Source organism: Homo sapiens, chromosome 12 (genome assembly GCF_000001405.40).
Source record: "Homo sapiens chromosome 12, GRCh38.p14 Primary Assembly".
NCBI classification, from domain to species: Eukaryota; Metazoa; Chordata; class Mammalia; order Primates; family Hominidae; genus Homo; species Homo sapiens.
The window spans coordinates 56,991,678-57,017,508 of NC_000012.12; the positions used below are offsets into that span (position 1 = coordinate 56,991,678).

Sequence of the window (25,831 nt, forward strand, 5' to 3'; positions counted from 1 at the left end):
CTTTCTACAAATACACATTGGGTGACAGGAATAGGTGGGAGAAGGCAGCAGGTAGAGGTGAGGCTGCAGGGGGGATGTCTCCATATGGGAAGGACAATTCAGAGACCCAGGAGACAGGAGCCACTAAAGGGCAGTCTTGTGAGGAACGGAAGTGGTCACAGATGTGGCCATCTGGAGAGGACAAAGACCAGACCAGGGCCTTCCTTGGAGGGTGCTTGATCTAGGACAGGCTTCATTTGCATGGGTCAAAAGCATGTAGTGGGAAGGGGAAATTCTCAGAAGGCTCCTTACTGAAGAAAAATATCAATGGGATAGAAACTAAGACCCTAAAGGGAGAGAATAAGAGCAAAACTAACTGAAAAATCGAAGTAAGCCACATTTCACACTGTCATGGTTCATCATGATGGTTTTTTGTTTTTGTTTTGTTTTGTTTTTTTGAGACAGAGTCTCACTCCACGGCCCAGGCTGGAGTGCAGTGGCGTGATCTCAGCTCACTGCAACCTCCGCCTCCTGGGTTCAAGAGATTCTCCTGCCTAAGCCTACTGTGTAGCTGGGATTACAGGCATGCACCACCACGCCTGGAATTTTTGCATTTTTAGTAGAGACAAGGTTTTACCATGTTGGCCAGGCTGGTCTCGAATTCCTGACCTCAGGTGATACACCTGTCTCAGCCTCCCAAAGTGCCAAGATTACAAGCATGAGCCACCTAGCCTAGCCCATTATTTTTTTTTTTTTTTTTTTTTTTTAGGAGATGGGATCTAGCTCTCTAGATCCCATCACCCAGGCTTCAGTGCAGCAGGGTGATCATGGCTCACTGCAGCCTTGAATTCCTAGTCTCAAGCGATCCTCCCACCTCGGCCTCCCAAATACAGACTGTACCACCACAACTGGCTATTTTATTTTTTGTAGAGATGGGGGTCTCATCTTGTTGCCCAGGCTGGTCTCAAACTCCTGGGCTCAAGCAGTCTTCCCACTTCGGCCTCCCAAAATGCTGGGATTACTGGTGTGAGCTACTGCACCGGCCATGATAGATTTTGTGATCTTGGAGTGATCTGATATGTAAGTGGAAGGTTTAAGAAAACTACAAAACTACAAAATGAAAAATATTCCCTTCCATGGAGATAAATGGTGCTGATGGTTGCACAGCAGTGTAAATGCACTTAGCGCCACTGAATTGTACACTTAAAAATGGTTAACGTGGTAAACCTTACATATATTTTACCATAATAAAAGAATCAGTGAGCAAACTTTTAAAAAATGTTCTCTTTGAGTGGATAAAGAAAATGTGGTGTGTGTGTGTGTATATATATATATATATATATGGGAATATTACTCAGCCATGAAAGGAAATGAAGTACGGATGCATGCTCCAAAGTGAATGAACCTTGAAAACATGCTAAGTGGAAAAAAAAAAACACAGACACTGAATGTCACATATGATATGGTTCCCTTTCTATTAAGTATCCAGAATAGGTAAATCCACAGGGACAGGAAGCAGAAGGTTGGTGGTGGGGGGAATAGGATTGACTGCTTAATGGTTATGGGGTTTTCTTTGCGGGTAATGAAGATGTTTAGCACGTAGACAGAGGTGGTGTTTGCACAATGTGCATGTCTAAATGCCATTAAATCACACATTTTAAAATGGTTAATTTTATGCTATGGGAATTTCACCTCGACTTAATATATACTCAATCCCGTCCAGCCGACACACCTTTGGCTCAGGCCTAGGCCACTCTGCCATCTGCCAAGTGTGGCTTGTGTAACAGACAACTTCTCTGGGCCTCAAAGAGGGTGAAGAAATCCATCCTCCCCACAGGGGTATCTCCAGAATCCAACGAGATGAAGTGAGGTGAAAGCGCTCTGAAGGGCAGGAAGCTCTGCTGACACAAAATGTTTACCCATAACACGTGGCTTAGAGTCCCTTACCCTCTAGCTTGGCGGGAGAGAGAAGTCTGCTCTCCCTACCCCACGCCCCATCCCCTGCTCATCCCCTGCCAGCCACCCACCACACCCTTCACGCAGAGAAGTATAGAGCCACAGGGGGAGGGCGCCATTCTCTCTCTCCCTCCCTACTCAGGAATCTCCCTGAAGCTTTGACAAAGCCCCCTTGACACCCCGCATTCAATCTTATTTTTATTTTTTTTTATTAACTCTGTCACCTAGGCTGGAGTGCAGTGACCTGATCTCAGCTCACTGCAACCTCCGCCTCCTGGGCTCAAGCGATTCTCCTGCCTCAGCCTCTCAAAATGCTGGAATTACAGGCGTGAGCCACCATGCCCAGCCATTCAATCTTTTCTTTCCCAGATTCTCACCTCCAATCACAAGATGAAGGCAGGGAGCTCACAGCCCTGTGAGGGGCTGGGGAGAATGGCAGGGGTGGGCCAGAGTTATTAAAAGCCCAACTGATGTTCAGATTTATTTTGACCCTCCCCTATACCCCCACATCCAATTTCACTCTAGTAGGAATCAAGACAGGGGAGAGAGGGATTCCAAGCTGACTTAGGGAGAGGAAAATACATACATACGTAAAGCATTTGCCACAGGCCCCACCTGAGCTAAGCACTTTCCCTCCCTCAACAGCTCCTTTAATTCTCAAAGCATCCCTTTTAGTAGATAATAGACCCCACTTTGCAGAGGAGAGCACTGAGGCTGAGGAAAGAGGTAAATTCATTCAGCGGGTGAGGGAGGAGCTGGGATTTTAATGCTGGCAGTATGACCTCCCCGCCACTGGCACACCGGGTCTTTTGCTGGGACATCCCCTGTAACCGGATTGGGGGAATGCAGGAAAAACCCCATCCCTCCCTACAGAGCCTCAGCAGTGACAGCTACTTCCCGGATGAGAAGGGCGGCCGTGAAGCCAGCAGGGAAGCCAGCCCCACAGCCAAGGGCCCCCCAGCCTCCTCACAGCTCCCCATAGCCTGGACCTGCCGGCCCTCCCTCCAGGACCGAGGGGCTCCCAAGGGAAACTCAGGTGAGTGTCGCCCTCTCCCAGGGAAGATGGGAATCAGGGCTTGGAGACAACTGGCTATCCTGCATGATCCACAGGTTTTCCTAGGGATGAATCAGATTGTGTGGTGTGCGTGTGTGTGTGTGTGTTCCACACTCACGGTCCAAATAACAAGACAGAAAAAGAGCAATAAAGATCTGTGCAAAAGGGCTGAGGAATGAAGTGCCAGGAGAGAGGTGGAGGTTGGAGACCACCTAGGAATGGTGGGTGTGGGGGGATTGAGGGGGTTGTTGAGGGGGAACTGGCTGGGGGTGGGGAGAAATGTTGGTGGACACCAACAGTCCTGGCCTCTTCCAGCTGAAACCCCTTAAGAAAGTATCTCTGCTCTTGGGTCAGAGCTAGCAAGTGAGTTGTGTATTATTTATTCACAGTTTGAAAGCTAAACTTCCCTTTCTTGCCTTAGCCCCAGAATCTTTCCCCAAAGCCCCCGACTCCCTCTGGCCTCTACCTTGAGGACACAAGGCTCTCGAGGTCTGCTTTCCCTTCCAACCCTCCCTTCATCCCAATAGGCGTGTGCTGGTCCCAATGTCAGTGAAACCCAGCTGGGGGCCTGGCCCCTCGGAGGGGGTCACCGCAGTGCCTACCAGTGACCTTGGAGAGATCCACAACTGGACCGAGCTGCTTGACCTCTTCAACCACACTTTGTCTGAGTGCCACGTGGAGCTCAGCCAGAGCACCAAGCGCGTGGTCCTCTTTGCCCTCTACCTGGCCATGTTTGTGGTTGGGCTGGTGGAGAACCTCCTGGTGATATGCGTCAACTGGCGCGGCTCAGGCCGGGCAGGGCTGATGAACCTCTACATCCTCAACATGGCCATCGCGGACCTGGGCATTGTCCTGTCTCTGCCCGTGTGGATGCTGGAGGTCACGCTGGACTACACCTGGCTCTGGGGCAGCTTCTCCTGCCGCTTCACTCACTACTTCTACTTTGTCAACATGTATAGCAGCATCTTCTTCCTGGTGTGCCTCAGTGTCGACCGCTATGTCACCCTCACCAGCGCCTCCCCCTCCTGGCAGCGTTACCAGCACCGAGTGCGGCGGGCCATGTGTGCAGGCATCTGGGTCCTCTCGGCCATCATCCCGCTGCCTGAGGTGGTCCACATCCAGCTGGTGGAGGGCCCTGAGCCCATGTGCCTCTTCATGGCACCTTTTGAAACGTACAGCACCTGGGCCCTGGCGGTGGCCCTGTCCACCACCATCCTGGGCTTCCTGCTGCCCTTCCCTCTCATCACAGTCTTCAATGTGCTGACAGCCTGCCGGCTGCGGCAGCCAGGACAACCCAAGAGCCGGCGCCACTGCCTGCTGCTGTGCGCCTACGTGGCCGTCTTTGTCATGTGCTGGCTGCCCTATCATGTGACCCTGCTGCTGCTCACACTGCATGGGACCCACATCTCCCTCCACTGCCACCTGGTCCACCTGCTCTACTTCTTCTATGATGTCATTGACTGCTTCTCCATGCTGCACTGTGTCATCAACCCCATCCTTTACAACTTTCTCAGCCCACACTTCCGGGGCCGGCTCCTGAATGCTGTAGTCCATTACCTTCCTAAGGACCAGACCAAGGCGGGCACATGCGCCTCCTCTTCCTCCTGTTCCACCCAGCATTCCATCATCATCACCAAGGGTGATAGCCAGCCTGCTGCAGCAGCCCCCCACCCTGAGCCAAGCCTGAGCTTTCAGGCACACCATTTGCTTCCAAATACTTCCCCCATCTCTCCCACTCAGCCTCTTACACCCAGCTGAGGTAGAGGCCAGACTCCTCCAACAGTGAAGGAAAAGGCACAGGTGAGAGTATAGGTGGGAGATTTGGGGGGATGTAGAGGGGAGGGTCAAAGCACTCGTGGTCAATTTTGAATCTATCTTAAAATACTGAGGTGTGGAGAGAGAGACAGGATCAGGAGCGATAGAGAGCAGGCCCTCAGTGTTGTACTATTTGTCTCGGTCCTTGTGTCTAAGGAGCAATGCAGAAAAAAAGGTGAAATAAATGGAAGAGATAGCCATGGACTCTGGATCTTTTAAAAATCTGCACTTCCAGCTGGGATTGGGAAGGGAGCTGAGGCTAAAGAGGTGCTCGGCAGAGGAAACTAGACACATTCATTTCATAAATCACTCTGGCTGGAAACAGTGAACTCTGCAGGAACCTCACAAAACTCCTTTTGCGTTTGTGAGCTTGTTGATCTTCCAGCTCACTATGCAGGTTATGGGGACAAGAGGCCAGAGGCCAAGGAACCAGGCGGCCCCAGCAGGACGTTCCCTAGCTGTGCATCCTATGCACAGCCATGATAAGTGAAGGCGGATGGGGATGGCAGGGGTGGGGGCGAAGCCAAGGTCTGAGACCTGCACCCTGCAGCTGGGTCAGCAGGATGGTATCTCCACCCGCGGCCATCCAGGAAACACAGCTCCATTTCCTTGCTGACACCCTCCCCTCCCCGTTGTCCATCCTGCTCCCTCCCCACAAGCAAGAGGAGTTGTCCCAGAGTCAGCTCCTCATAGCTGACCTCTTACCAGCTTCGGATCTAGGAAACTTCCAGACTTCTAGGGAGACACAGAGCTACCAGAAAGCCCAACCCACCCCCATCTCTTTCTCTCCAGATCATAGGAAAGTATCAAGGGATGTCATTCCGGGAGCAGCCCTTGGGACAGCCAGCAGCAGGTGCTGGCAGATGCTCTGTCCTTCACCCTCTGTCCCCGGCACCAGATGGGGAAGGCCACAGTGGAAACTTCTCAATTCCGTCACAGGGCAGAGCTCTGACACTGTTATAAGTCAGTTCTCCCTGGCCATGTCTTTTCCTAATTTTCCTGTCCCACAACTTAGGTTCCTTAACACTTGTTCTACAGATGAAACAAAAAAGTCCTCTGTTAACAAGTAGACCTTCTGGAAAAGGATCACTTATGTTTGGGAGACTAGGACCCTGTCCATGAAGAACTCTGAAGTAAAGGCCTAAGAACAGGATCTAGTTTCCGCCTTCCAATTCCACGTCCTTTGCCTCTTAATCCTGCCCGTGGTAAGGGGACTGGATGGAATCACTGATAGCCTCTTCACCATCTCCTCTGTCCTGCTTAAGTGCTCCATGTGTCTGGAATGTTTAACTTGGAGTAACTACTCACTGACTTGGAGACCACCTGTTCTACTTTGAGAAATCAGAACTGTTCTGTGGATGCACTGACAGCGTGCTCCAACTGCATATGCACCCAGGTTTGTCAGGAGCATGGAAGGAAACCTGCATCTCCCTGTTTACTGGGCCCAAACCTGAAAGGGTCTTAAGCTGCAGACAGCTTCTCAGTAGCACAGAGCTGAAGGCTTTTTGAACCAGGAGTCTGGGTTGTGGCTTGGGTCGCAGTAAGGGCTTAGCCTATCAATGCAGAATTCACATTGAAAAAGACTTTCCTCTCTTGTCCCAACACAAAAAAGCAAGCCAAGATCTGATGCCCATATCACTGCCTCCTCTGACTTGGGCTACAGGAGTTTCCTGAAGGAAACCAAATTTTACATCTCTGTCACATTCCAGATCACCTTAGAGGCCACGCTCCCAAGATTAGTTATCACCCTGGCAGTATGAATACTTCCCTAAGGCCTCCCATCCATGGAGGGGAAGAGTGGGAACCAGCTGTTACACTCAGCATCTACTGAGCACTGATGGGAGCCCTGCCTGGGCCATGTGCTGTGGGGCCAAATGGACATCACTCCCTAACTTCTTGAGGTCTGTCTCCTCTGTGGATTCACGCATGTATCAACCTCATTAAACTATGCCAAACTTTTGCCTCCTCCCTGTTTCAATCTGCCTCGCTCCACTCAAAGACACACCATGTCCCCGCAAATCAAATGGCATTGGCAAGACAAACTGTAGCCAAATCTCTCACTTAGTAACGTTAGTCCAACTAGACACGGGCAGGGACCCACCACTCTCTCTGGGCTGACGGAGGATCCTCTCAGGGATACCCCCTGAAAAGTTTGAGTCTTTGACTTAATTTCCCACTAAAAACAGGTCAACAAGTTAATCCTGGGGAATTCCAGCTACAGGAAAGGAAAATGTGCTACCTGAAAGAATTCTGGCATCTGCTGGGCAGAAATGTGCTGCTGAAAGGGTGATGAGCCCAGATATTCTGAACTCCAGGTATGAGCATATTCATAGTAGGTAGGAAGAGAACTCTCATTTCAAATTTCTTTTTTTATTCTAAATAAAAACCACACTTTGTGCTGAACAATGGAATATAAAAGAATCAGATGTACAATGATTTTAGACATCTACTATTTGGGGAAAAAAGTTTACAAAATATACAAAACTTTACAGCAATAGATAGTAAACACTTAAATATTAGGAGGTCAGTACTTATTAATTTAATGGAAGGAGTTAGACGTCAACAACTCTTCTCTGTTTCATAAGAGACTTTAGCTATTCAAGGTGGGGGCGGCGAGTGGATTGGACAGGGGAAGGGTTTTAAAGAAACATCAAAATCGAGTTTCATTTTCATTCTGATGTTAAGCTTATGATGCATAACCACATTGAAACTAATGCTGTGCACCCTGCCTCCTGACTCATTTGGTGCAGGATTTAGGGAAAAGAGTCCCAGATGGGTGCAGACCACCCCATAGAGCCCACTCCCATACCAATAAATACAGTGTCTATCTAGAATTTGCTTTGGAAGTTAAGCAGTCTTGGGCTTGGGGAAAGGGGCACAGAAGGAGGCCAGAGGAAGAAGAAAATTCAACACTAGCAAAAACCTGTCTAGGAAAAAGATATTTAAGCCCAAAGGTTTGGCCTGGAGACAAACAGGTACTCACAGATCAGAAAAGCAGAATATAAAAAAAAACTTTTACCCATCTCCTGGTTCTTAGGGGTCACCTGGGCCTGACCCTTATCCCACCTCCTTTCTTCCTAACTAGCCATGGACTACGGGAACTCCATGGAGTCATAAAATTTAGGACCAAATACTAAGGTTCAGCAGAGCTTCCTAGCGGGTGCTGTGGCATCAGTGAGTCACCCAGTGGGTCACTGGAGTGCCAGGATACTAATCTCTGCCTCTGGCCACATGGAGCCTCTGCTGTTTAACCCCGGGTGCCACACAAGTATTACCATTTTCCCCTCGGAAAACAAGTTGGGAATGGCCTCATATTTGGTTTAATGCTCTATGACCACCACCTTGAAATTTTTAATAATTTATGAATAAGAGGGCTCCACAAATGATGTAGCTGGTCCTGAGTACATACCAAGAAAATGGGAGAAGAGGATGTTCAAGGCTTAAACAGAACTTCAGAGTAACACAGAAGAGAGTAGTAAACTAGGTTCCAGGAGAGAGGGAGCAACAAAATCAAATGAACAGAAAGTCAAAACAATTAAAAATGCAAAATAAAATGAATACCTTCTACCAGGTATCCCAGGGTGCCCTCTGCCACAATATAGTGTTTCAAGCAAAACCATTCAGAAGAGGGTGAGCTGGAGGCAGAGGAAGCAGACATGACTTTGGTGGGGTGGGGGGAAACGGGAAGTTCAGGTGTGAATACAGGGGTCACCAACAGGGAGAGGGTTTGGTCAACAAATCTCATGAGCTACTGATCCTATGACGTATCTGACTGGGACCAACTGAGCCACCCTGATCAATCTGATCAGCCCCCGGGGGATCAGGGGATGCAGTTTTCTGTTTCGTGTTTCAAGGGCCAAGTTTCAAGGATCTGCTTTTTGGTTTACTGGCAAAAAGGGAAAACTTCACAGTTTCAGGTTAAGTACACAGACCACCCAGCATCCATGATGCCCTCTGTTAAGGAAAAAGGTTTCTCCAGCACATTTATCTGCTCTCAGCCACTCGGCTGGTTCCTGTAATTACCACCTCTCTCACACCAGCATTTCAAAAATCAGTCCTCACCAACAGTCTGGGAGGGATTGCTCATGCTTGAAAATGTAGCAGACACTTGACTGTAGTCTGTTACACATTTCCTTCTTAAATTCTAATGGTCAGTGTGAGTAAGAAAGGGAGAAGCCAGTCAGCAATGAAGAGTCTCAACACTGCTTTCCTGATGAGGATGTCCTCAGAGGACACTGAACAAGGTGGGTTTAGATGGTCAAAGGTGGACCTTTAAACTGGCCACTGTACAAGTCCCTTCATCTAATGGTCACCCCACCAGAGAGCCAGGCACTCCAACTCTGAGGCTTTATCAGTTCAGGGCTGGGGAGAAGCAGCAGGTCCAACAAGGATGGAGCTTTGGTTTGTCTGACATCTCAATATAAATAAAGACAGGAGGCTTCCAAACTGTGCAAATAGGTCATTCATGTCACTTGTTCCCCTCAACCCTGTCCCCAATCTACTCCATCACAGGAAGGAAGGGGGATGAAAGGCCTGGAATTTAACTGTCCCGAACTTTATAGAACATACACCCATGGCCTAAAGTGTTCCCTGGGTTTATTATGCTAGAGACAATCTGGAGAAGAAGAATTTGCTTAAGGGCTTGACATGTCTTCCCTTAGTTATACCCCTGGTTCTCCACATCTCTGGTCAAGGCTGTTCTCTGGAATATGGCTACTTGCTGGGGAGAAACTCATTTTCCTAAAGTCTCTTATACAAAAGAGATGCTGGGTAATGTGTATACAAAAACAAAAATAAATAAATATTAATGTCCAAAAAGGCTTTGTGAGTTAATGAAAACCACTTGCTTGTGAAACAGCCCGGGGTGTTGCTGAATCCCACCAGGGGCAGTGCCAGGGCTGAGGCCAGGGACTCCCAGAGCTCACCTGAGCAGGGTGAGGTAGTATGAGCTACTGAGGTGGCACCTCACAAGTATGCAAGATCGAGGGCCCTATCCCTCAAGACTTCTTTGGGCAAAGCCCCTTAGAAAACCAAGTAAGAGTGGAGCTAACCAGCTGCGTGGGCTGTGCCGGCACACTCTGCAGCCACCCACGGAGGGCCTGAACCAGCTGCCATCCAATAGCGCCCCCTGGAGGTGATGGCAACGACAGATCAGGATAAATTCCAGCAGGTCAAAGGTGAGCTGACAAAGCTCCGGCACTGTTAGCACAAAGTAAACAGGTTACCCGACTAGGACAGACAGTCAGAACGCACACCCTGCTACACACCACCAGTTACTCAGGTCCCTTTAATCCTGAAGGGCTCGCGGTCTGCCACTCCACCACTTCATGGAGTCAGCTCATCTACACCACGGGCCAAACACTTCTGGACGGGAGACCAGATATAAATTAAGGCAAGGCTGCTGCTGTCAGATACATCCCCACCTCTCCACCAAGACACTCATGGCCAACAGAAGTGGCCAAAACAGATGACTATATCAAAGTGGTTCCCTATCCTCTCTGCCCCACAGAAGGCCGGACGTCCCGGGCCATCACTCCATAAAATCCTGTTTCTTTGGAAATGAGGAGAAAAGAGAAACCTCTCCTGTCCATCCAGGCTGCCACTTCTGGTGGCACTGCAGGACACCCCTTCTGGCTGGCAGGGGTTCATCCCAAAGCTTTCTGACCTAAATAGAAAGCTCTGTGCCTAGTATGGATCTAGCTGCCAAAAGATTTTCACTGTTCAATCAGCAGATTAGGGCTGTAGATAAGCAGACACCAACATCCCTGATGTCTTGTCCCTGCTGAGGGCTGGAACCTGAGGGGACTGCCCTGCTGACCTGTCTTTTCTGAATGATCACATTCCCAAAATCTTTCTCATTGCTGGTCATCCCAGTTGGAGGCCTGCAGTAACACCCACAGTGAAAACCTCCCTTTACCTCCTCTGTTAAGTGAGGCTGTTGGTTGGATTCTTAGCAGCATAAAACCTATCAGTAAACTAAAACTAGAGAGGCTGGGGAAGGGGGTCTAGTGGACACCAACTGCTTGACTAGATCCCAAAACCAGCCTCAAAAGAATGAAAAACATAGCCCTGCATGGGCAAGAACAGGTATGGAGGTAAATGTGATAGGGCTGTTGCTTCTCAACAACAGTAACAGCTTATGTGCTATTTCTTCTTCTTTTCTTCTTTAAACACAACACAGAACAGAATTCCTACCAAGGCAAAATTATAACTTCAGCTGGGGAGGGACCAACACCTCTTAGATATCAGCATCCTGGCTGCTGCTTGGGAGCTCCCCGTGGCTCTGCCGGGACCCAGTCAACTGTCCGGGTTCTTATCCGCCTCTTTGGAATGGATGATGTACATGAAGGTCTGCTCGATGGTGAAGTCAGGGGGGAGGCTGCCTTTGTGCACACCAACATGTTTGCTCATGAGGTTAAGGGTGGAACTGTAGTGCCCACAGACTGTGCAGCGGTACATGAGGGCCCCCGAGTGTGTCTTTAGGTGGCACTTGATGGTCGAGCGGCCTCGAAAGAACTTGTGGCACACCTTACATTGGTATGGCTTCTCCCCCGTGTGGATCCGCCGGTGGTAGTTGAATTCGCTTGTGTGGGCAAATCTTTTGCCACAGACCTTGCAGCTATACTTGCTGTTCCCAGGTTGGCCCTGCAGCGCCAGCTCTTCACCCAGAAACTCCTCTGCTGGCAGCTTCCGCTTCTGGAGAGCTGGGTGCTGCAGCCCAAAACCAGGCCGTGCATCAAGGCCACTGTTGCATTTGTGCTGGCTGACGTGGTAGCGATAGGCAGCCTCTGACTTGAAGCTCTGGCTGCACAAGCGGCAGTGGAAGAGGGCGTCTTCCAGACTTTGGTGCACAGCCATGTGCTTCTCTAGAAGATGCCAGTCCACAAAGCTGTTCGCACAGACAGAACAGGAGAAGACTGAGATGCCGAGATGGGACAGCGTGTGCCACATGAGGCTGCAGAGGTTAAGGTGACGCTGGTCGCAGACACTGCAGGCCTGGCCCTTCAAGTTTAGATGGTCAAGGATGTGGCCCCGGACCACATGGAAATCTTTGGCCAATACTTTCCCACAGGCAGCGCATTTCAGCTCTGGGGAGGCTGCCCCTGAAAAGAGACCCAGCTTCCCTGGCAGGGGATCGTTGGGGTGGACAATGATGTTGTTCTCAAATATTCCATCCCGTCGGTGAAGGGTCAGCTGCCACTGGGTAAAGAACTTAGTTTCACACATGTCGCAGGAGAAAAGGAAAATACCAATGTGGGACAGGACATGAGTTACCCGGGAGTTTCGGTCCTGGAAGTGGGTCTCGCAGACCTTGCAGTTGCCCGTCAGCAGGTCCACATGGTCCCGAGCATGCTGCCGGATCAGTTGAATGTTGGGCTCTAGAACTTTCTTGCACACCTGGCAGGGCATGGCCTTATTCTCCCGATTGTCATTCTCTCCAAAAGCCAACTCATCCTCACTGTCATCACTCAGCTCAATCACCTCCTCAGTTGTGCCTATATCCTCAGCAGGGTCTTCAAACTGCAAGTCATCATCCCCCAGGTCCTCGAGCTGGAGCTCATCCATCTGCCCAAAGCCAGGATCTTTGGAGTGCTCACTATTGCTCAGACAGGAGTTGGTCCCAGTGGTAATGTCTACTGCATTGTCAGGGGTGAGGAAGCTGTTTTTACTGAAGTCTCCATTGCTTTGAACTTTGTATGGCTGGCAGGAGCTCGTGCTGGTCTGGATGCCCGTGCTGACAGTGCCTAGGAGTGGCTGGGTCATCATGCTAGGAATGGACGTGAAGGGAGCAGGGGTGTCATGGTCTTCTGTCTTTGGCGGTGGTGGGGGCGGTTGCGGCAGATGCAGGCTATGGTTAGCGTCACTGGCAACATTCTTCTCTTCCTCTTTATAGCTCCCTCCAGCATCACTGGGCAACACATAGTTTCTATCAGCACCAAGGTAGTCCCCACCACCTCGGAGTTCTCCAAGGGGATGGGCAGGTTCTGCCGAAGGACAACTCAGGGTACCAGAGTGGCTCTCACTGGTGCTGGTCAGGGGCTTGGCCCTGGCAGTGCTCTCCAGATCAGGAAAGGTAGAGTGACAGGCCTGGAGGAGGTCCTCCATACCCAGACGCTCAGCTACCTCGTAGATGACCCCAACATTGATCAGGTCTGTGAAGAGTTCTGAAGTGTAGACAAAGCTCAGAACCTTCTCAAAGTTGGCAGGGGTGATGAAGTCCACCACATAGGTCCTGGCAGCATCAAGCCCAGTATTCAGGAAGAGGTTCTGGAAGTAGCCAGCTGCACAGGCCAGCACAGCCTTGTGGGCCGGGAAGGAGCGGCTCCCCACCACAATGGTGACGTCGCACATGGTCTCTGAGAGCCGGCACTTGTTGAGTTCCTTCAGCAGGTTGTTGGGGTGGTTGGTGCTTTGCAGTTTGATCCTCATGCCCATCTTAGCAGCTCCTATGAAATTACCTCCTTATCAGCACAGTTAATCTGTGGATAGCAAGAGAAAAAGATGGATGGCCAAACACATCCGTGCAAAAGAGGGGCTATGCAGGAGAAAATACCATCACTCTGAATGCTTCCAAGCCCCAGGTAGGGATCAGGAGTAAACTGGCATGGAGAGTTCCTCCATTATGACAAGGCAATGACATCTCCCCCTGTATATACTCAAAGAGTTATGACAAAAACCAAAACGACTGATGACAATCTGATAGCTTGGTTTTAAGCTGGTGCCTAGAGACGAACCAGAGGCATTCCCTTGGACACAATCTTATACTTCATTACCAGAGCCACTGGATCAAATTTTTCTCCTATTAATTTCCTCCCAAATACAAGCTTTCCTAATTCATTGAGCATATTCTTTTCCCTCATGATGCCAAATACCATGCACATGCTTGAACACAACTATCAAAGCTCCACTAGCTACTGAGGAACATATAAGGTGGTTCCGTTTTTTAGCTTTGTCATTGCTGTGTCTTCAACCTCTCAATAATCTCCAAATAAATCTCACGTTCTTGAATCCCCATCTCTCTCTGCCTATACTACATACCCGCTCTCTGGCCTTTCGATAACCCAGAGCCCCTCCAGATATTGCTTTATCACAGTCCCTGTATTCTGTGAAGTTAAAACACTCAGAATGCACAGTAAGAAAAGTAGAACACAACTGTGGTAGTATTTAATATTACTTTAATATGTTGTATTCTTTTTCGCCACCCTTTTCGGGGTTTATATTTTGTTGTCCCTGCACTAACAGATTTACTTGATGCCGCAAGAAAGACTTCTAATTATACAGGTAAGACTCCTAGAGGCTTGTTCACTACCACTTTCTGCCCTTTCTGACTCCTGCACGACTAAGGAAGAAGAGCTACTTGCATCCCTGTTCAGTCTCACAACTCTGCCCAACACAGCCCCTTTCTCCATCTCTCCAGATTCTAACAACTCCCAACTTTTTCTGGGGCCCAGGAAGCGTCTAAGTATTGTGGGGTACCGGCCAAGCATCTCCCGGGCCCTGGTGGCCACCCCTGAACGATGGGCGGGTCGGAGCACTGGGCAGCCAGAGGAGAGGGTGGGAGAGGGGGAAGCTGGGAACTTCCAAGGACACCCCAACAATCCCCGGGCGCCGCGGTCTCCCCTCCGGAGTCGCATCTGGGAGGGAAGGGCGCTGCATCGGCTGGGGCGCTCCCTCTGGAGGCAACGAGCGCCTCAGTCCCTCCACAAACAGCGCGGGGCTCACCCGGGTGAGCCTGTTGGGGGCATGGGGCTGAATAAGGGGCCAAGCGAGGGGCGGCGGGGCCGGCCGGGGTCGGCGCGCGGGCGGGGAGGATGGGTCCGGCCGAAGGGAGCGGGCAAGAGGGACCCCAGCAAGAGCGAGATAAATGCCGGGCCGAAGGTCGGGCTTCGGCCAGGGGCAGCCCTCGGCCTGGCCGCGCTTACCCGGCTCTGCGGCGCCCCGAGCACCATCGCCGCCGCCGCTTCACACAAAGGCCCCGGCCCGCCGTGCCCGGCCCGACGAGGAGGCGGCGCCGCCGGCCGCGGCCAGACTCTCCATCCGCCGCGCGGCTCGCCGCGACGGCCCGGGCCGCCCCCGCCGCCCGGCCCGCAGCGCCCCCCGCCGTCCCGGAGGAGGCAGCGCCCCCCGCCGCCCGGCCGCAGCGCCCCCCGCCGCCCGGGAGGAGGCAGCGCCCCCCCACGGCGGGGCCGGGTCCAGGACCTGCGCGAGGGGTGCAGGGGCTTCCAAGTCCCCAGGCTGGCTTTTTCTAAGCGCCCATCCACTGTGCGCGGGACTTGGTGCCTGAAGAGTGAAAAACCCTATCCAAACTCTCTTCACCTCCCCTGTTCTACGCTCACAGTTCCAAAAGCTTCTCCTCAGAACATCTACTATGGGCATTTTACAAAATGTTGTAAGATTGTTTGATTACTATATATCTCCTCCACTAGGCTGTGGGCTTCCTGAAGGCAGGGATCTGTGGCTTTGCACACGGCCGCAGGTCCACACTGACCCTTACCACACTTCCTGGCACAATAAGTGCTTAATACATTAAGCCTGCTTGAATGAATGAAGGAGCACTTGAGGGCTAGACCGCTACTACTGGACCCTTCTGATAATCCACTGCTGTCCCTCCTTCCATCTAGGTGGCCAAATGAAGAAAGTCACCGGATCTCACTGTACTTTGGCACCCCAGGCCTGCTTCCTGAAGCCTGCCCTCCCCAACTCTGTGTAGAACTCGATCACTCTTCCTCCCCACCCTTCTCCCAAATCATCTTTTCAAATGCTTCTGCCCAAGAATTGTCATCAAACGAAAACCACCTACACTGCCTGCCCCACCCACCACCACCAAAGACATTAGAAGTCTTCGTCATGTCGCCCTCCCTCCCTCAGTACAGAGGAAGCTCTTAGGCTCCAAGACCCTTCAGTTTCATCCTCTCTCCCATCCCATCCCAGTCACTGCCTGAAAATAGCTTGCAGCCAAGGACAAACTCCCAGGACAGGCGCATGGTAGGATTCAGTAATTCCTTGATGGATAAGTGGAAAGGAAGGGACACACTGAATGTTGCCAACAGATCTAAGCCAGTTTGGCCATTCAGCAATTGTCCATTCTCTTGATGAATTTGGGAGATTGTGTGTCCTCCTTTCCACAACCTCATTAACTGGTGGCAGACTATACTGAAAGCAAGCACTATACCAAATGCTGCCAAACATGTAACATTTGTTAGCCAGGAGATACAAAAACAGCCATAGAACTGTTCTTATAGTTTGGGGATGAGGCATCTCACTTTACCATCTAGTGAAAGGGTCACTTAGAGGTTGACACAATGTTTCAGTGGCAGGCCCAGCTCTCACAGTTGTGCAAGGTGACTGAGTCTCCCTAAAGTGGAATATCACACAGCCAGCAGGTCCAGACCTCCAGCATGACTCTGGAGACAGAGGGCTGCTGGGCTTGCAAGGGCCTGGGCCTATACAGTCTTTCTAACCAACTGCCCCAGCCATCTCTGGAGGGTTGACCCCAATAAACTTCACATGAAAACAAATCATCCAAAAGACGCAGGTGAAAGTATATACCACTTATACTGAAGTCTTTTTAAAGTAAATCACCATATAGTCACAATAACAAACATATACAAAGTTAAATGGAGAAGAAAGGGCCAGGAATTTAGTCAAGGTCTTGTGGACCAGATCTCTTTAGGCATCAACTGTTTTACAACAGGAAAGGGAGGGTCAGGATCCCTTCACACATTCTTCAAGTACAAACACAGGAATCTAACTTAACATTTGTCTTCATTTTTTTCTGGAGTCCCCAGTACTGCAATTTTTGTCAGTCCCACTAGAGAGCAATCTTTCTGCACTTAATGTTCCTACTTGCAAAGCAATTGTCTCATCTCAGCCTATAAGCCTAACTCCCACCAAGTCTGAGCAGAACCAACTCTTGTAGCTTTCATGACCCAGAGAAAGCCCCTAGACTCTGCAAAAGTGTCCCCAGTTTTAAGCCCTATAGATAGATAATTTTGAAAAGTCAAAGAGATGACTCACTGGAAAAAGGGTCTAGGCTCTGGGGTGGGGGCATTCTTTGACCTCTGGCTATAAAGCTGACATAAGTAATACTAGGGTGAGTATTCCCTCCTTTCCCCGCCCCCCACTATACAGCTGTCATTCCAAAGTGGCCCCAAGTCAGGCTGTAGGAAGATAGAATTTTCACTAGAATGAAAGGACTGCAGGAAGTGGCCTCTGGCTCTGTGGCCCTGTCCTTACACTGCCTTGGGAAATCTATGTGTTGATGTTTTATCAGTGCAATTCAGGGGCATAACAAAGGCCCCTGTACCACGCTAAGATAAGGAGCCTGAGGATTTCACTGGCTGTTCCATTAGGGTACAGAACCCCCCTTAGGATGGCGGGTGATAGTTGACATCATAGATTAGTAAAAGACATCCATACCCATGCATACCACATGTAAGTGCCTTACACATTCTGGGGACTGTTAAGTCAGAGCTGCAGGAGCTGGTAACAGGCACTTTAGAGAGGAGTGGGAGATAAATGTTTTCCCTTTATAATAACTAAGGCAGCCAGTTAACGGTGAAGATATCTGCTCCTCTCTTTCTTGGCCTCGGTAGTAACTTCCCTGTCCACATCCCATCCTAGCTGGATCAAGTTCTGTTTGCTTGTCCACAGCCCTGCTAAACTGTAAACTCTGTGTATGAGTCATCATTTCATCCCCAGGATCTGTCACAGAACCCAGGCTCAGCATTTGGAGACAAAAAAATTGTATAGGGTCATAGATTTGTCCTCCTCTGTGGCTGGGTCTCCGGACAGCCTTGATCCCCACCTCCTTCTCTAATTAAGTAGGGTCAGATTCAGGAATGAATATCTCCCAGACCCATCCTAGTAATACAAGTCATTCTGAATATTTTTTTTCTTTTTCTTTTTCTTTTTTTATTGTTTTTTTTGTTTGTTTGTTTTGTTTTGAGACGGAGTTTTTTGCTCTTGTTGCCCAGGCTGGAGTGCAGTGGCGTGATCTCGGCTCACTGCAACCCCTGCCTCCTGGGTTCAAACGATTCTCCTGCCTCAGCCTCCCAAGTAGCTGGAATTACAGGCATGCGCCACCATGCCTGGCTAATTTTTGTATTTTTAGTAGAGAAGGGGTTTCACCATGTTGGTCAGGCTGGTCTCGACCTCCTGACCTCGTGATCCACCCGCCTCGGCCTCCCAAAGTGCTGGGATTACAGGCGTGAGCCACCGGGCCCGGCCTGTTTTTTCTTTATCTAAAACTGGTCTGTAAAAATCTTTGTGTGTTAGAAACCATCTTCCAAATTCGTGTATTTATTTTAATCACTAAATAAATCTGATACTCATCGTGCAAAGCACTGTGTAAGGCACTGTTCAGGAAATAGATATATACAAAAAGATATGTAAAGTTATTTACATTTAAATATGAAGTGTGTGTATCATAAGTATGTGTGTATTTACCATGTAGCTGGAGGAGTCAAGGAACAGAAAAACCCACCAACCAAACAAGTAAACACACACACCACATCATTCATATGCAAAAATCCTTTATTGTTGAGGAATAGAGAGAGACATTATATTTTTAATGTAGGACACTACAGGAACTCTAGGGTATTCTACAGTCAATGCCCATTGGGGTTGGGGATATTCACTATGCAGTTTCCACACCAGGGTCAGGTAGAAAAGATGGAGAAGGAGTCAAAGCACAAGAATGTTACAAGAACAGGGAAGAGAAAGGGTAACAGGAGCGTGCGCACCTGGGGATTGGGACAGGGAAAGAGGTCTTCCTAATGCAGTCCAGGAGTCCGGAAGTGGAGTACTGAGGACAAAAAACAAAACAAAACAAAAAAAAACACTGAAATCACATCTTATATCCTGTAAAAAAGTCCCACTGAAAACCTGCTGTGGCAGCAGGAGAGAAGGGGAGAGGCGTCTGTGAGAGAGGAAAGAACAAGTCTTGACCCTCAGCCTGCCCTCCAGGCTTTGGGCCTGAGGATGGAACTCTCCTAGCCGCAGGTACTTGCACCTTCCCAGCTGCCATATTTACATTACTCTACACACCTGTGTGCATGGCCAGTGGGGCCCATGTGGACCAAAGATGTAGGAACCAAGTTCATGCCATCCTAGCACCACCATGAGCCAGACACACACACAGCCCTGCCCAAGGTGCCCTACTATGAATGCTCCCCCTGCCTTATCCAGTTCCTCCTCTTCCCAGAAACCTCCCAGAGGAAGCACAGGCCCAGGGATTACTTACAGTTTCACATGAATGAAATCAGATGACACAATGATCTGTGTTGATCCATCTCATCTAATCTTTAAATGCCAGCTCCCAGAAACCTTATGTCCTATTCTGCCTGACACCTAACAGGTTGGGAATGCTCCCTCAATGGTAAGATTATGAAAGCTGCAATTATGGGTCCCTCTGAAAGAGCCTGGATGCACAAACAAGCATTAAAAGTAGATTTCCACAATGCACTTGTTTTTGCCATTTGTATAAAATACTATAGCAAAATTGCACTGTAATTATCTTTATGGCCAGTGCATAACGCTGGAGCAGAGTATGTCATCCAGATATAGCTGCTCGTATAATTATCTGGCCGTCGGCAGGACTGAAATAACCATCTAATGAGAGCAAAATGATACAGTAACTACCATGTAATCAGCAAGTTACAGTTATTATAGCTCTTTGTGCCCTCTCACCCAACACTAAATGGGGGGCCAGACTCAGTCTCTGGTCCCAGGAATTCATGCACAGGCAGCATCATCAAGCACCAGCTCCTTGGGTCTTGGGCGTGCCACCTTGAGACCAGTGAGTATGGGTAACAGGGACACAGAGAGAAAAGCAGGAGGCTCTCCATGATTACGAGCCTTCCCAATCTCTCTCCCTCTCCTTTTCACTCCCTCCACCCCAATTCTTTGGAAGCTAGTGAAAAGAAAGCCATTGGTGGAGCTGCTCTTGCTGTGTGTGGGAAGACAGTGTCAAGGCGGAAGGTTCGTGTTTTGACTAGACACTTCCCTGGGGGACTCTTACACTCGCATACCAAGTGAGGAATTTGTCAGCCCACTCAGGCCTGGGGTCCAGACAGAGCCAGTCAGGGGAAACATTAGGACATCCCCCATACCTCCCAAACTGGGACAATTATCATAAAATTGGCACACAGCACTGTGCACCCGGCACTGTTCTGAACACTTTACCTATACTCAATCCTCAAAACCACAACCCTGTGAGATACTATTATCACTTTCATTTTTCAGATGAGGAAACTGAAGCACAGGAGGATATGTACCTTGGCCAAAAAGATACAGATAGAGTGGCAGATCCAGGATTCACATTCAGGCCATTGTTCTTATTCATTATGCTAAAGAGAGATTCAGATATGGTTTCCTGCTAATCCCCATTAGATTTCAGAGTTCCTTGCATTTCTTCCTGAATCATCCTTGTGTATGACTACCTTCTGGGCCCCGTAACCCAGGATTCTGAGTGATTTGAAAGGCTCAGCCTGCCTGGGAGGCAAATGCTTGCCTGTGAATTGGTTGTGGTATTTGTAATTATCAGATAATAATTTCTCCATCTTTTTGCATAGATTACAAAAGAATGAAGTCCAAACAACAGAAATTGCCCATCGGGGAAGCCCCTCTCTCCTCATCTCCCAACACTCACTCCTGCTCAATAGTCAGCTGCCGTCCATGATCCAGAGGAAAGAGATGAAAGACGGGGGATGTGTACAAACACACGTGCCTCTAAGTGTCTTTGTGTTTGGCCGACAGTGTGCTGGGCATTGGCAGTGTATTTCAGGGCAAATCTATGAGCTTTAATACCTGTAGCATGGGAGGAAATGCACAGCTGGCAACCCCCACAGCCCCCTCCCCAGTCCCCTCTCCCCTCTCTAATGAACAATCCTTACCCTATTCTGCTCTCGGGGGATACTTGAGGATGCCAAAGCTGGGGACGTTCTCTTGATTCACATCCGTAGGAGAGTCTAGGGTAAAGCGAACAGTGTAAGTAAGAGGGATCTTTCTGAATGTGAACTACACCCTGATCCAACAGCAAAGGGCTGGCTATGACGGGCAGTGTTCAAAGACAGAGTTGGGAGACTGGGGTGGAAGCAGAGTCTCCCTATCCTTCCTCCCAGCTGCAACAGGACTACCTTATAAAGGTCTCTGCTCCTCTGTTCCCAGGGAAGACTTTCCTGTGGATCCAAGCTGATTGGGATGAAGGGGCCGAGGAACCCTCACTGAAGGTAAGAAAGGTCCTGTCTTTCCCTCTGGTGACAAATATGAGGCACGTGACTTCTGTCATACTCTGCCAGTACCCTAAGCCCTTCCACTGTACCTCCACACACTCCTACCTGGCTGGACGCTCCTCTTGCCCATAAGTCCCACAAAGAAGTCATGCATGTCACCTGCAGAAAAGGGCCAACATTGTCAGCAGTGATGATGAGAAAGTGAAGCATCTCCCCAGACATGGGTCAACACTTCTGAGACTGGGTTTCTGGTCTCTGTTCCTTTTTCTTGTCAAAGCATGACTCCTCACAGTTAGCAAGTGCCTCCCCTAAACCCACTCTCTCTGCTCACCTTTCCTTCCTCCACATTTCAAGAATTTTCTGCTCTAGCAGGTGCCTGATTTGGAATTTTCAGGGCCACGAAGAGATCCCCTTGTTTTCCAAGGACCAGCCAGCAGAGGGAGAGCCCACCATGCCCCTCACACCAGCTTCCTCCTAGTTCTGGATGGCCTCTCCCTTTCAGGAAAGGTTGGCTGAGCAGTGGGAGCTGGCATATTGTTTGTACCAGGTGAGAAGGGGCTGGACAAAATGGCCCCTGGGCCCAATGCCCCACAGAGCTCTGGGCAAGTGGCAAGAGATAGGGAGGGAGAAGAGGGTACTTACGTTTCTCGGGAGATGTTGATTCCTTAGGATCTGTGAAACCAAGAACAGATGTCTAAATGGGGAGTGAAGTTGGAAAGTGATGAGAGCGGGGTTCAGATCACAACCCTCACCGATTCACTAAGCTATCCCCCATCTCTCTCCCATCTGAAAGGATCTCCCAGGCCTCTTATCTTCAGAATCCTGCCCCTCATTCCCCTCTCCCCTAGGGCCGCCTCCTACCTGTGCTAGCCTGGCTCAGGGCTTTGAGCAATCCCTCCAGAGATGAGTGGCTTTTGAAGAGTCTCTGGAGCAGCTGGTAGAGATCTGGATCCCTCTAGGGAAGAAACAAAGAGGGGTGAGGCAGGAGGCTCCCACCCGGATCCACTCATCCTTTTCCCACAAGAAACAGCCTCTTCCTGAGCCCATCCTGAATCCGACACCCTATTTCTTTCAGAGTTTCCTCTGGTTCACACTGGACGAGAAGTAGGTGCTCCAGGAGTGACCTGTGGACCAACAGCAACACCAGCACTACACAGAGCCTGTTAGAAATGCAGACTCTTGTTCCTACCCCAGACCTCCTGAGACAGAATCTGCATTTTAAGCAGCCCCCCAGGTGATTCACATGCATGGTGAGATTGGAGGCACACATCTGCACCTGTGATTCCCCCACTCTGCACGATGTCCATGGATGTTTCTCTCCCTGTTTTCCACCACCTCTTTCTCTATTCTCCATGGCTTTCCGCCTCTAGTTTTCTCTCCCTCTCCCTTTTGGCCCTAGGTCTAGAATTCCAGGAAGGCAACATGCTCAGAAGGCACGTCTTCTTCTCTCCACAACTGAATCCCAAGTTCTAGAGCTGTTGCCCAGCACGGGCTCTTGATTGTCCCTGTGATTTTTTTTTTTTTTTTAGCAACTTGCGTACAGCAGGGTGGTGGGCACACACCACACAGCCAGTTAATTGCAGCTGCAGAGAGACAATAACAATGATCATGGCTGGAGATTTTCATCTCAAATCTCAAGTCTCAGCAGCGCCTCTCTTTCCAGAACCCAGGCATCCTTCGGCTGTTGTGCACACACAGAAGTGCATTTACACAGAACACACCCCCACACATACCAACCCAGTTGCCTAGGCACACCTATGTACTACCCTCTTCCTGCCCCAATTTCCCTCATCCTCACAGACTCTCAAGGAGAAGGGGTAGGATGGCAATCCCTCTCATTCATTGACCAAGAGGGGCAGAGGGGACATCTCATTGGCCAAGGTCTTGAAACAAGTTTGTCTCAGAAGAACTCAGATACTCTAACTATCCTGGGCTGGAACTTTGTGGCTCCAAACGGTGTCCAGCCCATACTTGGCACTCCCCTGGGTGTTTTTTTTTTTAACGGTTCTGGCCTTTTGGATATGGCACAACTGCTGCCACCTGCAAGGCTGCCCTGGTGATAACTCCCTTGGCCCAGCATGTGGTGTTCAGGCAGCCACTTTTCCCAAATTGTTGAATACTCTGCCCACCTCCTATAATGAGATGCTGAACAGATTTGAGCTGAAGAGGCAGTTAAACTTCACACATTGAATTTGTAATAAGTCCCACCCGCAATCATCTTAAAAGCATTTGTACCGATGTAATTGCTGTCATTTCAAAACCTTGAAAAGACTTCCTCCCTATCCTCCCCCTGTACCCCTACCCTGACAATTCCTATTCTTTTTCGTAAAGGAACTGTGGAAATCGAGGCTCAATCTGGTTTTTTTGCTGTTGTTGTTTTCCTATCCTGACTAAGCAGAGGATAGAGGCGGGCAAGGGAGAAAAGAGAAGAAGGAAGGGGTTGGGATCTTAGAAGCACCTGAGGTTACTGGGGGTGGATGAGCAAAAGATAAGGGAATTTATTTGCATTTTGAAAATAAAACAATACACATAACTGATAGGTAAAATAGCACACAAATAACCATTTGGGAAAGAAATTCTGACTGTTTCATACCATCCAGGAAATAGAAGAGATCTGTCCCTTGCAAAGGGACCTGAGGTAGACTATAGAGAGCCTTAGACCACCCTAGCTCACCCCTCACAGTACCATCCAATCACCAAGTCTCCCATCAATCAACCCACCAAACAACATATTTGTAGGGCACCTTTTATGTACAAGGTGTCAAAGACATGCAGAGATACAGAGACACAAACACACCTGGAGACAGTGGGAACATGAAAGGACCAGAGAAACAAAGAAATCCAAAGGGAGGCAAAATGCCCTCTGACGGACAACCCCCCCACCCCAGTTTCCTCACTACAGCTGTCCAGACAGGCAGAGTCCCAAGTTCCCGTGATGTCCCCAGTACTCTGCCAGGGGAGACTTACCTTGCTGCGGCCCCCGCCAGGAACCACCTCCTCCTGTGGCTCCTTACAGACAGCCCCAAAGCTCTGAGCTAGGCTGAAGGCCAGGATGGCTGTGAATAGCAGCATGATCCTCATGGTGCCTGGGAGAGCAAAGGGACAGGACTCAGGTAAAGGAGAGAAGAGGAAGATACAGCATGGGTGAAGACACAAGAGACATTCATTACCAGCAGCTTGGCTTGACCCTGCTTCCCCAGCCCCCAACTCCACTGTCCAAGCCCTGGTCTGGAGAGAGGGTGGAAAGTATTTCTGAGAAGGGGGTACAGCCCTTGGGCTTAGTTTCCCTGCTACCCCATCAGATATCTCCCCAGGAGATGTGCAATGCTATAGTGGTGCCAGGAGGACTCTAGCTCCCAAGAAAGATGATAGATTTGTAGGACATGGACTGGTCTGTTTCCTCAGTCAGCTGGAGGAGGGATCCTGGATGCTATTTTCCAGTACTAGATAATCCCAAGACTTAGGCAAAAACTTTCTGGTATGAAAGAATGAGTCTGTAGCCACAGGCTCCAAACACCAACCAGCTCTCGGCCCTACAGGTGCTTTGTGCTCACCTTCCCAGTCCCCTGCTCCCCTATCAGAGGCTGCCATCTGCTTTATTCCCTCCTGACGCTGGCTCCTGTCCCCTGGTGCCAGCTCTGGTCCATCCAGCATTCTCCCACTTGCCTACCTGTGGAGCAGCTCTGTGCCGGGGGCTGGGTGGTCTGGCAGGATCAAGGAACTGGCTAGGACCGCTGCCTGCTCCCCTCACACACTGGTGCTGCCGGTGCTCCTGCAAAGAGAGAAACCGAGTGGAGGGGATCTAGGAAGGCTGCAGTCACTCAGTCCCAGCTCCCTGATAAAGGCTCTGGGAGGGTCTAGGGGAGCTGAGGGGAGGGGCTGAGAGTCACCAATCCCAGGGTGGCTGGAGGGGAGGCGGGGAGGCTGTAGGGGGGAGGAGGATGCAGACAGTAGCCACACACCCAGACACACACATACCCCACAGACCCAGCAGTGAGACCATTTCCTAACAGCACCCGAGCTGGCTGCTGTGTATGGTTTGTGTACAGTTTGACACTGCTGGGGCTTAGAGGACAATACTCCAAAATGAAGGCCTCAATAGCCGCCTCAGAAGCAGAAGTTTTTCTCTGACCCTCTCTTGTCCTCTTGTCACTCGGTTCCATTCTCCCCCAAGACCAGCTATAAAAACCAGAACCCCTTTGCCCCAAAGCCAGCCATAAAACCTAAAATTACTCTATGTAAAAACTGGCCAAAAAAATTATCTGACCGGCCGAGTGCAGTGGCTCACGCTTGTAATCCCAGCACTTTGGGAGGCCGAGGCGGGCGGATCACGAGGTCAAGAGATCGAGACCATCCTGGCCAACATGGTGAAACGCTGTCTCTACTAAAAATACAAAAATTAGCTGGTCATGGTGGCGCGTGCCTGTAATCCTAGCTACTCGGGAGGCTGAGCCGAGATTGCACCACTGCACTCCAGCCTGGTGGCAGAGCAAGACTCCATCTAAAAAAAAAAAAAAATTCAGAAAAGATGACACTCACCCCTTTTTTGGGGTCTCCTACTTTCGTTGTGGAGTTTCACGAGTCATGGGCAGATTCTTCTCAGGTCTAAAGCTCTGCTCTCTTCTACACTACATTACCTAATCTCTTTGGTTTTTGAGGATGCCAAAAATAAATTACTTTGTATTATTTAAAAAACTAGACATATAGCTAGTCATATATAATAACTAGATAAAAAATACAGTTTTAGAGATGACTTATGACAGTTATTCACAACAAAGTATTACTACTATAC

At 49.7% G+C, this 25,831-nt stretch overlaps 3 protein-coding genes and 1 long non-coding RNA gene across 13 annotated transcripts in view, besides 3 other annotated features; 1 reads left to right on the forward strand and 3 right to left on the reverse strand.

Annotated features, from left to right (window-relative positions):
• Window positions 1–291: part of a transcriptional cis regulatory region, noted in NCBI's record as "candidate enhancer chr12.2240 targeted for multiplex CRISPR interference", that runs on past the window's edge. NCBI's record gives its function as "positively regulates TAC3 gene expression in K562 cells {active_cell/tissue: K562}" and the evidence as "EXISTENCE:mutant phenotype evidence [ECO:0000015][PMID:30612741]".
• LOC124902945 (uncharacterized) overlaps window positions 1–3,717 on the reverse strand; it is an 18,310-nt gene extending 14,593 nt beyond the window's left edge. Inside the window, exons 1-2 of the long non-coding RNA XR_007063333.1 lie at window positions 3,592–3,717; window positions 1,712–1,877 (exon numbers count right to left, since the gene is read on the reverse strand). This is a non-coding gene — a long non-coding RNA (uncharacterized LOC124902945). The remainder of the gene's footprint in view (window positions 1–1,711; window positions 1,878–3,591) is intronic.
• ACKR5 (atypical chemokine receptor 5) lies at window positions 2,815–7,200 on the forward strand. Of its 5 annotated transcripts, none has more exons than XM_047428198.1 (3): window positions 2,815–2,971; window positions 3,517–4,789; window positions 6,991–7,200. In XM_047428198.1, the coding sequence occupies exon 2, from the start codon at window positions 3,533–3,535 to the stop codon at window positions 4,745–4,747; it is 1,215 nt and encodes a 404-aa protein (XP_047284154.1). In that variant the 5' UTR covers window positions 2,815–2,971; window positions 3,517–3,532; the 3' UTR covers window positions 4,748–4,789; window positions 6,991–7,200. The 5 variants fall into 5 exon arrangements, with proteins under 5 accessions (XP_047284154.1, XP_011536129.1, XP_011536126.1 ...); XM_011537827.4 differs by lacking the exon at window positions 6,991–7,200 and adding an exon at window positions 5,597–6,770; XM_011537824.4 differs by lacking the exon at window positions 6,991–7,200 and adding an exon at window positions 5,820–6,770.
• On the reverse strand, window positions 7,159–14,869 carry ZBTB39 (zinc finger and BTB domain containing 39). The gene is made up of 2 exons (NM_014830.3): window positions 14,728–14,869; window positions 7,159–13,284 (listed from the first exon to the last, which is right to left on the reverse strand). The coding sequence occupies exon 2, from the start codon at window positions 13,238–13,240 to the stop codon at window positions 11,102–11,104; it is 2,139 nt and encodes a 712-aa protein (NP_055645.1). The 5' UTR covers window positions 13,241–13,284; window positions 14,728–14,869; the 3' UTR covers window positions 7,159–11,101.
• Window positions 14,538–14,687: a silencer, noted in NCBI's record as "silent region_4567". NCBI's record gives its function as "represses an Ori minimal core promoter by ATAC-STARR-seq in GM12878 lymphoblastoid cells {active_cell/tissue: GM12878}" and the evidence as "EXISTENCE:reporter gene assay evidence [ECO:0000049][PMID:35858748]".
• Window positions 14,708–15,067: a silencer, noted in NCBI's record as "silent region_4568". NCBI's record gives its function as "represses an Ori minimal core promoter by ATAC-STARR-seq in GM12878 lymphoblastoid cells {active_cell/tissue: GM12878}" and the evidence as "EXISTENCE:reporter gene assay evidence [ECO:0000049][PMID:35858748]".
• Window positions 18,323–24,852, reverse strand: TAC3 (tachykinin precursor 3). 6 transcript variants are annotated; one of them, NR_135164.2, is made up of 9 exons: window positions 24,710–24,852; window positions 24,007–24,125; window positions 21,901–21,994; window positions 21,682–21,711; window positions 21,145–21,198; window positions 20,944–21,060; window positions 20,701–20,775; window positions 20,457–20,614; window positions 18,323–18,611 (listed from the first exon to the last, which is right to left on the reverse strand). NR_135164.2 is itself a non-coding variant. In NM_013251.4 (7 exons), exons 2-6 carry the CDS (start codon window positions 24,118–24,120, stop codon window positions 20,702–20,704), a joined length of 366 nt encoding a protein of 121 aa, NP_037383.1. In that variant the 5' UTR covers window positions 24,121–24,125; window positions 24,710–24,852; the 3' UTR covers window positions 18,323–18,611; window position 20,701. The 6 variants fall into 6 exon arrangements, 2 of the variants coding, with proteins under 2 accessions (NP_037383.1, NP_001171525.1); NR_135165.2 differs by lacking the exon at window positions 20,944–21,060; NR_033654.2 differs by lacking the exon at window positions 20,457–20,614.

What these genes read in the sequence shown, in the direction of transcription:
- TAC3 (NM_013251.4), bottom strand. Translation starts at nt 24,120, where the DNA reads ATGAGGATCATGCTGCTATTCACAGCCATCCTGGCCTTCAGCCTAGCT. An exon ending in CCTGAGCCAGGCTAGCACAG is followed by an intron (nt 21,712 to 21,900) that starts GTAGGAGGCGGC and finishes TTGGTTTCACAG; the next exon opens with ATCCTAAGGAATCAACATCT. An exon ending in CAAGAGGAGCGTCCAGCCAG is followed by an intron (nt 20,776 to 21,144) that starts GTAGGAGTGTGT and finishes GCTTTACCCTAG; the next exon opens with ACTCTCCTACGGATGTGAAT.
- ZBTB39 (NM_014830.3), bottom strand. Translation starts at nt 13,240, where the DNA reads ATGGGCATGAGGATCAAACTGCAAAGCACCAACCACCCCAACAACCTG.
- ACKR5 (XM_047428198.1), top strand. Translation starts at nt 3,533, where the DNA reads ATGTCAGTGAAACCCAGCTGGGGGCCTGGCCCCTCGGAGGGGGTCACC.